The sequence below is a fragment of the Homo sapiens genome, chromosome 1 (genome assembly GCF_000001405.40).
Source record: "Homo sapiens chromosome 1, GRCh38.p14 Primary Assembly".
NCBI classification, from domain to species: Eukaryota; Metazoa; Chordata; class Mammalia; order Primates; family Hominidae; genus Homo; species Homo sapiens.
The window spans coordinates 169502459-169514757 of record NC_000001.11 but is presented as its reverse complement, the minus strand read 5'-3'; the positions used below and the strand labels follow the sequence as shown (position 1 = coordinate 169514757).

The following is a 12299-nucleotide window of genomic DNA, read 5'->3' as shown; positions in this document are numbered from 1 at the left end:
CTGATAGAGGATCATCTCTGTGAGAGTGTTCTATGTGTTCTTTGATATGCTCATTTTGAGCTAATAGGATAAAAAATTTTCTGGGTTGGGCATGATGGCTCATGTCTGCAATGCCAGCACTTTGGAAGGCTGAGGCAAGAGGATTACTTGAGAGGAGTTTAAGGCTGCAGTGAGCCATGACTGTGCCACTGGACTCAAGCCTGGGCAACAGAATAAGACCCTGTCTAAAAAAAAACAAAAACAAAAAACCTTAGCCATTTATGTTGTCATTAAAGATTTTCTCTTATTTGGCTTTCAGATTTTTGAAGGAAATACTAATACCAAAGGACATGTGAAGAACTTTTTCAACCCCCCAATCATTTCCAGGTTTATCCGTGTCATTCCTAAAACATGGAATCAAAGTATTGCACTTCGCCTGGAACTCTTTGGCTGTGATATTTACTAGAATTGAACATTCAAAAACCCCTGGAAGAGACTCTTTAAGACCTCAAACCATTTAGAATGGGCAATGTATTTTACGCTGTGTTAAATGTTAACAGTTTTCCACTATTTCTCTTTCTTTTCTATTAGTGAATAAAATTTTATACAAGAAGCTTTTATAATGTAACTCCTTGCTACCAGTAAGTAAGATAATGGCTATTACTTCTGCATTAATTTGAATACAGGTAGGAAAATATCAAGAACCAACAAGAAAAGGGCTTATCTTTCTTAATGATTGAAAATGCTATGAAGTAATATTTATGTAGTTAAAATGCTTCATTATAACTCTTTTAAATCCTTTACACACTAGTAAAACAGATATTACTTTAAATAATAATTGATAGACCTGGATAACTTTCACAAACACATGATTTTTTAATGGTTTTTCTTGAGTGAAGAGAAAAACAATATTATCAAATGAAATAAGTACTTAAAATATCCTGTCTTTCCCATATAACAATGATTTTTCTGACTTTCCATGAGTAAAAAAACAGCCAAGCATCTTTCCAGTAGCCCCATTGAAATTGTGAATCCGTCCTGGTCTCCCTAAGGACTGCACACATTGATATTCAAGGTTGGTGGTCATTAGATATGGAACAGAACTGAAATAACCATGGTAGAACTGAATGTGTAATGTTGGCTTTATTCTAGCTGGTACTACATGGCACACAGTTTCAAAACATAATTTCACCTACTGGAAAGCTCAGACCTGTAAAACAGAGCATGGGAACTGCTGGTCTAAATGCAGTTGTTCCTGCTCAAAGAGACCTCTGGCCAAACTGGCAAGCAGTTAAAGTTTTCTTTCAGGGCCTTCCTCTCTATGGCCTCAACTTCCTCCTCTCTCTTCTTCCAGCAACTTCCCCTTTCATCATTCCTTTCCCTGGGGACTTGGCATTCAGTGATCCTGTAGATATTGCACAACTGGGGAACCTTTAGACATCCTTAAAATCACATGAGATAGACAGTCATTTGGGGTGTCTGAAATAAACCACCCCAAAACTTAGTGTTAAAAGAGCAACCAAAAAAAATTTATGTGAGATTATGGATTTGTTACTTAGCTTGATTTAATCATCCTGTAACGTGTACATATATCAAAATGTTATGTATACCATAAATATATAAAATTTTATCAACGAAATTCATAACAATCTCTCAGACCACAGAGAAATCAAATTAGAACTGAGGACTAAGAAACTCACTCGAAACCACACAACTACATGGAAACTGAACAACCTGCTCCTGAATGACTACTGGGTAAATAATGAAATTAAGGCAGAAATAAATAAGTTCCTTAAAACCAATGAGAACAAAGAGACAACATACCAGAATCTCTAGGAGACAGGGCTTTGCTTTTGCTGCATTCTATTCGTTGTGAACACAAATTACAGGCCAGTCTCGATTCAGTGTAGAAGGGAACTGCATAAGGACCACATACCAGGAGGCATAATTCACTGGGAGCATCTTTAGAAACTACCAGAGTTACCTGTTGCCCATACCAGTGGGGTAAGCCCTATGAATGTATATGAGAGTTTCAAACATCCACAAAACATTGGCTTTCTAATATTCGTATTCCCACTATTCCTTTCTTTTCATGATTCATGTCATTGTCCCATCAACATTTCTAAGATTTCCATTCCGTTAAGAGCAAAAGAGAATGTTGGAAGGTGGGGGAAAACATTTCTTTGTTTTCTACAGGGCCAGCTTCTTGGATGTGTGTGATCTGTTCAGTTGCAAAGGGTCACATGCTCAGAAGGACCGCATGCTAAATTTAATGCTTTGCAGTTACCCTCTTGAAATCCTTTATTTTTTAAGAAGGAATTCGACATTTCCATTTTTCAATGAGCCCCACAAATTACGCAGCTAGTCCTGGGCTTCTCTACTCTGAAATTGGGCAGGATCTCTCTTGATCTAGAATTTACTAAGGCATAATAGGGGCAAGAAAATCTTATGAAATAATGGGGGGTAGGGAAGAGATGGGAATGGAGCATGAGATCCAGCTTCGTTATTCTCTACTTGAGAAAAATAAGGCCCCAAAGATTAAACAACTTGCCCAAGGATATTGCTTGTTAGTGTCAGAACTGAAACCAGAAACCAAATGATCATATCCCTAGACTTTTAGTCTGCTTTCTCTTCCATAAAATGAAACTTATAATGTTTCTAATCCATTGCTCAGACAGGTAGACATGAATATTAATTGATAATGACTATTAATTGATCTGGAAAATACTTGTTTGGGGATCAATAATATGTTTGGGCTATTATCTAATGCTGTGTAGAAATATTAAAACCCCTGTTATTTTGAAATAAAAAAGATACCCACTTTTTATTTCTCTCTCTGATCTCACTTAGATGAAATTACAAGTTTGACTACATAGTACGTCTCCAGTGACATAAACCACTGTTTGTTACAACTGGGTGCTTTGGAAAGAAGTTAAATGACTCACGGTAGAATCATGACTTAAGAGAAACCAACAGATAAAATTCTAAACATTATTAGTCATTCTAATTGCAATTTGGAAAAGAATAGCTGTGAATGTATCAAAAATATGAAAGGACTAGAAGAAACATGAAATTATTTCTCCAGAATTCTTTCAAGTTATTAAAAGAAATAACAAACTTCATGCCATTTTTATAATCATTTTGAATAAACACCATATTTTGAGTTCAGGGCCATTTTGGCAAACCCAGGGAAAAGCTCTTGCCAAATAGCTTGGATGTTCCCAAGAGCCATGAATATTTCACCATTTACTTCTCTGGACAGACCAGGAAGGAACAATTTACTAGGCAGTGAATTTTGGTTTTACGAAATATTGGCACATGCCCCAATGCAGTGGGCCTAACACATACTTAAAAATATCTGATAGCTCCATGTTAGCATTTTTCTTGTTTTATATTTCCTAATGGAGAAGTATTTTATGGAAAATTCTGAATGCCTAATTCTCCCAAGTTCATATATTCTCATAGCCTAGAGATAGGGAAAGCTGTAGACAAAGACAAAATGATTATGTGTGGAATAATATTTACATGGTCAATGCCCAGATAACAAGGTTTTTCATATCCAAGTACTTAAATTGTTGGGAGAGACTACAGAGCTTTAAGATTTTATTATCTCTGGCTTGTATGAACTGTCCCCACCAAAACATATACATGTATTTTGCATTTGGTACATGTAAAGAAAACTTGATATTAACCTCTCTACATGTACCATCATTTTAATTTTTTAAAAAGTATTAAGCTCATTCTATCGACACAGCAAACCACTATGACAGGCATTGTAGGGGAGAGTATATAAAGGAAATAAAAGACACTTCTCTGGCTTATTCAAATACATCATCTAGTTGCATAGAGAAGACAAACATAAGAAGCAAATAGACACTATGAGCCTATTAAGCCTAACAGATTACACCCTGAGTAGTAAAGAAAAAGACAATTAGATGAGTAGCCTTGTGGGATGGAATCAGACTGTGAAAACTTTTGGAGATGATTTAACCTAGGTCATCTGATATTAGATGTGTATGAAGGCAACCTGTGCAGAACTCCAGAGAAGAGAGGACTGGGATAAGGATCAATAAAAACCAGGATAAATAAGAGCTTTATGCTCAAATTCAGGGCCCAGTTAAGCTTTCTCTGACATACCTACTCATTTTCCCTACCCTCTCTATATAGTCTAATAATGACTTATCCACCTCCCTCCATCTCCTGTACCATGCCCATAAATCCAGTGTATGTGCAAGGTCAAAACAAATAAGAATTACCTGGGTAGAACTGATGATGTGAGGGTGGGGAAAGACACAAAAACAGATACAATACATATCCCTAATCTCCAAATCGTGAATTACAGATGGTAGTGACCAGATTAAAAGTGGGTCACCTTTGGAAATATTATAGAAGACGCCCATGAGGAACAGGATTCTGACTTGCTTAGGGTGATAGGAGAATGACACTGGAGTGGGGAGAAGACGGGTAAAAGTATGTTGTATGTGAGAAATTGACTAATGGAGAGATGAGACAATCATTGAGGATGTTTGGACAATGACAAGAGTTCAAAGTTCTTATGCGATGGTTTTATTTTTACCACTGGTCCACATCTAAACCACTTCTACCTCATCTGTACTTTCATGTTTTACACTTAGAAGAAGCTTCTCAATGTCTTAGGAATGGTGTGCAGTTAATTTCATACCCCACCTGCTTTTTATTGACAGGAAATTTGGTAATGGCTTTACCGTCTTAGTTATCTCCACCTTGTATTGAAGTTCCTTCCTGCTGATTAAAAAGACTTTCTGAAAGTCTGGAATGTGGCAACCTTGTTTACAGATGTGACAAGTAAAAATGTTTAAAAAGCTTTTCTTTTATGAATAGACTGGGAGAAATAGTGACAAAGGCTATAATTCTATGATTGCAATAGTATTGGTACATAGTAAGCATTCTATCAGTATTTATTATTAGCATTATAATGAAAATATGATATACTATGAATATAATGGTATTAATTACTAATATTAATTTCTACTATTCTCTAATGCTTTTTAATACTGCTCATTACCTCTTTAGAAATTGTAGTAAAATACACATAAAAGTTACTCTTTAAGTGTACAATTCAGCGGCATTAAGTACATTCTCATTGTTGTGCAGCCATCACCACCATCCACTGCTCATTACTTTTTATTGCAGCTCTATTTTCTACCCATACTTGATGCTCTTCCCAGTAGGTGGCATGTCTGGTTCAACTGTACTTAGCCAGAGTTCTGAAGACATTCACATAGAGGTCAAGCTTTAATTATTCAGGCTAAACAAATAATTGAACAGCTTGCATGGACTTTTTTCAGTGGGTTTAACTGACCTAATTATGTTTTTCTCAGGGGTAGGGACTATTGGCATTAGTTTACATCCTGAGCCCACAGGCCTAGTATAGGATTCAGAAATTATCAAACTATCCACAAATTTGAAGATTTAAATAAAATCAAGTAAAAATTTTCTCTCCAAAAAAAAAATCAATTAGTTGCCAATGAAGGAGTTTAAATGGGAGAGGTAAATAAATTGTGCCAGAAAATAAACTAGAAAGAACAGTCAGCATGCTAGGTTATAGTAGATATTGTGAAAACTGTACTTCTCTGCAATACACAAAGTAGGTTATTAAAAATTATTGGCTGGTGATGATAGTGTGGTTTCATATTTGCCAGCATTATGAATAATCTTCTCTGCACTCCTAGCAGCTAGAATTTTAAATAAAAAGTTATCATATTTCTTCAGGTGGCAAAATAATTGTGAAACACAATGTTCTTGGCAGAAAATAAAACCCAAATGACTAAATACAACATATTTTTAGGCATGTGTGAATGAATATATTTCTCTCTCATCTTGTCCCCCCAAGACTTAAGGCTGCTTAAAAAAAATAAAAAATACTACTAGATGACATATGTTAGAAGTAGGGAAGAAAGCAAAACCGGAGGTAGAAACATAAACAGGAAGCAGAAAAAAGCTAACAGGAAAATGCATATCATAAAGCTATCGACCTTGCTATGGGTGAACTTGGGTTTAAGTGAACTTTTTAAACAGCCAATGCACAAAAAAACCTTATCAGTTATACCATATGGTGTCCCCAAAAAATGTACAAAAGGAGCACACTTTTATTGAGACTGAAGTTAAAAATAAACTTCTCCCAAAGGTCCGCAGAAAGAGGTCACTATGTAATGAGCAGAATGCCTCTAACAAGAGCACATTATATAGGCTGCTTTCTGTGCAGAAGGTGCTGAGGACTTCCCACCAAAGCACAGTTCAGTAAAAACAAGTCTTCAGAGGCCACTGCTGTGTGGTCCATGTGCAGGGGCTCTTTGCTGGTCTGGCTTAAGCCAAAGGTAGATTTTACAGCCTCTAAAAATCATTTTCCTTCAGGCAAAGGCTCATATCATAAATACTGTTTCTCTAAGGCATGATTTTGTTATCTACTCTGTGACAATGAGCTCAAGATTGTGTATTCTGCAAGGTGTAACAACTGCATTTTTACAAAATTGTTATGTTCTTGCACAAGATTCTATCATAAGCAAATGGCAATAGAAGGCAAATGTTTCAGAACAATTAATGCAAAAAAACGTAAATAGAGAAAATTATTTTTATTAATCTAATTTCTTTCCTGCTATTTTGGAAAACAGCATCTTTCTGTTCTGGGGGTAGAACACCTTAATCCAATTCACAGAATAGATGGCAAAGATATCAAGATTCAAACATATGTGCAATCTAGTTCTTATTTATACTTCATTTAGCATAAATTAACTTTCTAATAATCATCTTTCTTAAAAGTGAACATAGCATGTTTGGAGTTTTTCAAGTCAATTAAACAAATATTTCTTGTTAATCATTTATAGAAAAGGAAGTTTTAGCTACTGCAAAGAATAGTCCCTGGCAGAGCCCTCAAAGATCTAACAAACTTATTTATACATTTTCAGTTATTAAGTCTTGGTTTGAATAATTACCTATTTTTTCTTCATAATTACTGGCTTCTTAATATTTTGTGGTTTGTTGTCATATTAACACTAAGTACAATGGACTCTAAAAAAAGTTTCTCTCAGATTTGAAATCGTTTGGACTATAACCTAGATTTTGAAACCCAAATATGAGCTCCCTATATAAGATATTTGCTTTAAGAAGGTCCCGTTTATCAAGATTAAAGCTTTGCAAATAAAACCAGGTTTATATTTAACTACCTTCCCCATCCTCCTCCTCAATGCACTCATTTCCCTAATACTTTACTCATTATGCTTTTTCAACACTCACAAAAAAACACAACCTTTTCTCCTTTTTTATACTAAGATAACTTCTTTTTTATTTTATTTTACTTTAAGTTCTGGGATACATGTGCAGGTTTGTTACAAAGGCATAAATGTGCCATGGTGGTTTGCTGCACCTATCAACCTGTCATCCAGGTTTTAAGCTCTGCATGCATTAGGTATTTGTCCTAATGCTCTGCCTCCCTTTGCCCCCCAATCCCTAACAGGACTTGGTGTGTGATGTTCCCCTCCCTGTGTCTATGTGTTCTCATTATTCAACTCCCCCTTATGAGTGAGAACATGGGTTGTTTGGTATTCTGTTCTTATGTTAGTTTGCTGAGAATGATGGCTTCCAGCTTCATCTGTGTCCCTGCAAAGGACATGAACTCATTCTTTTTTATGTCTACATAGTATTCCATGGTGCACATGTGCCACATTTTCTTTATCCAGTCTATCATTGATGGGCATTTGTGTTGGTTCCAAGTCTTTGCTATTGTAAATAGTGATGCAATAAACATATATGTGCATGTGTCTTTATAGTAGAATGATTTATATTCCTTTGGATATATACCCAGTAATGGGATTGCTGGGGCCAATGGTATTTCTGATTCTATATCCTTGAGGAATCACCACACTGTCTTCCACAATGGTGGAATTAATTTACACCCCTACCCACAGTGTAAAAGCATTCCTATTTCTTCACGGCCTTGCCAGCATCTGTTTCCTGACTTTTTAATAATCACAGTTCTAACTGGTATGAGATGGTATCTCATTGTGGTTTTGATTTGCATTTCTCTAATAACCAGTGATGATGAGCTTTTTTTCCATATGTTTGTTGGCTGCATATATGTCTTCTTTTGAGAAGTATCTGTCCATTTCCCTCGCCCATGTTTTGATGGTGTTGTTTTTTTCTTGTAAATTTAAGTTGCTTGTAGATTCTGGATATTAGACCTTTGTCAGATGGGTAGATTGCAAAAATTTTCTCCCATTCTGAGGTTGCCTGTTTACCCTGATAGTTTCTTTTGCTGTGCAGAAGCTCTTTAGTTTAATTCGATCCCATTTGTCAATTTTGCCTTTTGTTGCAGTTGCTTTTGTTGTTTTAGTCATGAATTCTTTGCTCATGCCTATGTCCTGAATAGTATTACCTAGGTTTTCTTCTAGGGTTTTTATGGTTTTGGGTTTAACATTTAAGTATTTAATCCATCTTGAGTTAATTTTTGTATAAGATGTAAGGAAGGGGTCCAGTTTCTGCTTTCCACATACGGCTAGCTAGTTTTCCCAGCACCATTTATTAAATAGGGAATCCTTTCCCCATTTCTTGTTTTTGGCAGGTTTGTCGAAGATCAGATGGTTGTAGATGTGTGGTGTTATTTCTGAGGTCTCTGTTCTGTTCCATTGGTCTATATATCTGTTTTGGTACCAGTACCATGCTGTTTTGGTTACTGTAGGCTTGTGGTATAGTTTGGAGTCAGGTAGCGTGATGCCTCCAGTTCTGTTCTTTTTGCTTAGAAGTCTCTTGGCTATACAGGCTTTTTGTTCCATATGCAATTTAAAGTAGTTTTTTCTAATTCTGAGAAGAAAGTCAATGGTAGCTTGATGGGAATAACATTGAATCTATACATTACCTTGGGCAGTATGGCCATTTTCACGATATTGATTCTTCCTATCCATGAGCATGGAATGTTTTTCCATTTGTTTGTGTCCTTTCTTATTTCCTTGAGCAGTGGTTTGTAGTTCTTGAAGAGGTCCTTTACGTCCCTTCTAAGTTGTATTCCGAGGTATTTTATTCTCTTTATAGCAATTTTGAATGGGAGTGCATTCATAATTTGGCTCTCTGCTTGTCTATTATTGGCGTATAGGAATGCTTGTTATTTTTGCACATCGATTTTGTATCCTGAGACTTCGCTGAAATTGCTTATCAGCATAAGGAGATTTTGGGGCTGAGACTATGGGGTTTTCTAAATATTCAGTCATGTCATCTGCAAACAGAGACAATTTGACTTCCTCTCTTCCTATTTAAATACCCTTTATTTCTTTCTTTTGCTTGATTGCCCTGGCCAGCACTTCCAAAACTATGTTGAATAGGAGTGGTGAGAGAGGTCATCCTTGTCTTGTGCCAGATTTCAAAAGGAATGCTTCTAGCTTTTGCCCATTCAGTATGATATTGGCTATGGATTTGTCATAAATAGCTCTTATTATTTTGAGATATTTTCCATCAATACCTAGTTTATTGAGAGTTTTTAACATGAAGGGCTGTTGAATATTATTGAAGGCCTTTTCTGCATCTATTGAGGTAATCATGTGGTTTCTGTCATTGGTTCTGTTTGTGTGATGGATAACATTTATTGATTTGCGCATGTTGAACCCAGCCTTCCATCCCAGAGATGAAGTCAACTCGATTGTGGTAGATAAGCTTTTTGATGTGCTGCTGCTGGACTCGGTTTGACAGCATTTTATTGAGGATTTTGGATACTGGCCTGAAATTTTCTTTTTTTGTTGTGTCTCTGCCAGGTTTTGGTATCAGGATGATGCTGGCCTCATAAATTGTGTTAGGGAGGAATCCCTCTTTTTCTATTGTTTGGAATAGTTTCAGGGTACCAGCTCCCCTTTTTGTCTCTAGTAGAATTCTGCTGTGAATCAGTCTGGTCCTGGGCTTTTTTTGGTTGGTAGGCTATTAATTACTCCCTCAATTTCAGAACTTGTTATTGGCCTATTCAGGGACTTGACTTCTTCCTGGTTTAGTTTTGGGAAGATGTATGTGTCCAGGAATTTATCCATTTCTTCTAGATTTTCTAGTTTATTTGCATACAGGTGTTTATAGTATAAGAAAACTTCTTTTGAAGTAATCATTTTCATGAACTATTTTGCTAAAACACATCTTGTCATCCTGTTTAGCTCCCTTTAGCATACTGGCCTATTTAACCTAATGCCATGCTTTTTAAACACCCTTTCTAATGATATTCTGCAGTTCCTTACAACCTAAATTTTCACGAATGTGGATAGATGTTAAATTAGATTATGGCTTTTCCTAGAATATGTACTTAGAATACAAGGCCTCCCAGTGATTTCTTAAATCCATATCCTACTTCTTTATTTTCTGTCTCTGACCTTTGACCTGTCTCAGTTTTTGAACTATTAAGGAGCTAATAGTTAATTAATAATTAAACAGCAGCAGCTTTAGTTCTTCCTTTCTTCTTTTTTTCATTTTCTTTCTTTTTTCCCCAGAGGAAATTATCTTTTTTTTTTAAATCATGGCTTGTTATCCTTTTTCTTAGTATCTAAGCCTACATTCAATTAAAATTTTGCTTTATAGTCAAGGCAAATATCTTTTTTATTATCATTATACTTTAAGTTCTAGGGTCCATGTGCACAACGTGCAGGTTTGATACATAGGTATACATGTGCCATGTTGGTTTGCTGCACCAATCAACTCATCGTTTACATTAGGTATTTCTCCTAATGCTATCCCTCCCCCAGACACCCCACCCTCCGACAGGCCCCAGTGTGTAATGGTCCCTGCTCTGTGTCCAAGTGATCTCATTGTTCAGTTCCCACCTATGAGTGAGAACATGCAGTGTTTGGTTTTCTGTCCTTGTAAGAGTTTGCTGAGAATGATAGTTTCCAGCTTCATCCATGTCCCTGCAAAGGACATGAACTCATCCTTTTTTATGGCTGCATAGTATTCCATGGTGTATATGTGCCACATTTTCTTAATCCAGTCCATCATTGATGGACATCTGGTTGGTTCTAAGTCTTTGCTATTGTGAATAGTGCTGCAATAAACATACGTGTGCCTCTGTCTTTATAGGAGCACGATTTATAATCCTTTGGGTATATACCCTGTAACAGGACTGCTGGGTCAAATGGTAATTCTAGTTCTAGATCTTTGAGGAATCACCACAGTGTCTTCCACAATGGTTGAACTAATTTACACTCCCAGCAACACTGTAAAAGTGTTCCCATTTCTCCACATCCTCTCCCGCATCTGTTGTTTCCTGACTTTTCAATGATTGCCATTCTAACTGGTGTGAGATGGTATCTCACTGTGGTTTTGATTTGCATTTCTCTGATGACCAGTGATGATGAGCATTTTTTCATGTGACTGTTGGCTGCATAGATGTCTTCTTTTGAGAAGTGTCTGCTCATATCCTTTGCCAACTTTTTGATGGGGTTGTTTTTTTCTTGTAAATTTGTTTGAGTTCTTTGTAGATTCTGGATATTAGCCCTTTGTCAGATGGGTAGATTGCAAAAATTTTCTCCCATTCTGTAGGTTGCCTGTTCACTCTGATGGTAGTTTCTTTTGCTGTGCAGAAGCTCTTTAGTTTAATTAGATCCCATTTGTCTATTTTGGCTTTTGTTGCCATTGCTTTTGGTGTTTTAGTCATGAAGGCTTTGCCCATGCCTATGTCCTGAATGGTATTGCCTAGGATTTCTTCTAGGCTTTTTATGGTTTTAGGTCTATCATTTAAGTCTTTAATTCATCTTGAATTAATTTTTGTATAAGGTGTAAGGAAGGGATCTAGTTTCAGCTTTCTACATATGGCTAGTCAGTTTTCTACATATGGCTAGTCAGTCACCCATGGCTGGCCGGGGACCTTGGCACAGCTGCCTCCTCCCTCGGTCACTCCTTAGGCAACACTCCAAGCTGAAAAGGCCCTTGGAGATCATCTCCTCCGATCCACGACAGTCAGCCAGATGAAGAAACTGAGGCCTGGAGAGCCCAAGATCCCATAGCAACACTCCAAGCTGAAAAGGCCCTTGGAGATCATCTCCTCCGATCCACGACAGTCAGCCAGATGAAGAAACTGAGGCCTGGAGAGCCCAAGATCCCATAGCAGTTCCTTTTTGGAGCTGACAATGTACCAATTATGCGGTACATTAGTCAGCTTTCTACATATGGCTAGCACCATTTGTTAAATAGGGAATCCTTTCCCCATTGCTTTTTTTGGTCAGGTTTGTCAAAGATCAGATGTTTGTAGATGTTTGGTGTAATTTCTGAGGCCTCTGTTCTGTTCCATTGGTCTATATATGTTTTGGTACCAGCACCATGCTGTT

General features: G+C 36.8%; 1 protein-coding gene across 1 annotated transcript in view, besides 1 other annotated feature; it reads left to right on the top strand.

Annotated features, from left to right (window-relative positions):
• Window positions 1-2807, top strand: part of F5 (coagulation factor V) — a 74531-nt gene extending 71724 nt beyond the window's left edge. Inside the window, exon 25 of the mRNA NM_000130.5 lies at window positions 299-2807. Within this exon, the coding sequence (NP_000121.2) occupies window positions 299-445 (147 nt within the window). The 3' untranslated portion in view covers window positions 446-2807. The remainder of the gene's footprint in view (window positions 1-298) is intronic.
• Window positions 3820-4020: a silencer, noted in NCBI's record as "peak447 fragment used in MPRA reporter construct". NCBI's record gives its function as "represses an SCP1 promoter by STARR-seq MPRAs in K562 erythroleukemia cells {active_cell/tissue: K562}" and the evidence as "EXISTENCE:reporter gene assay evidence [ECO:0000049][PMID:32103011]".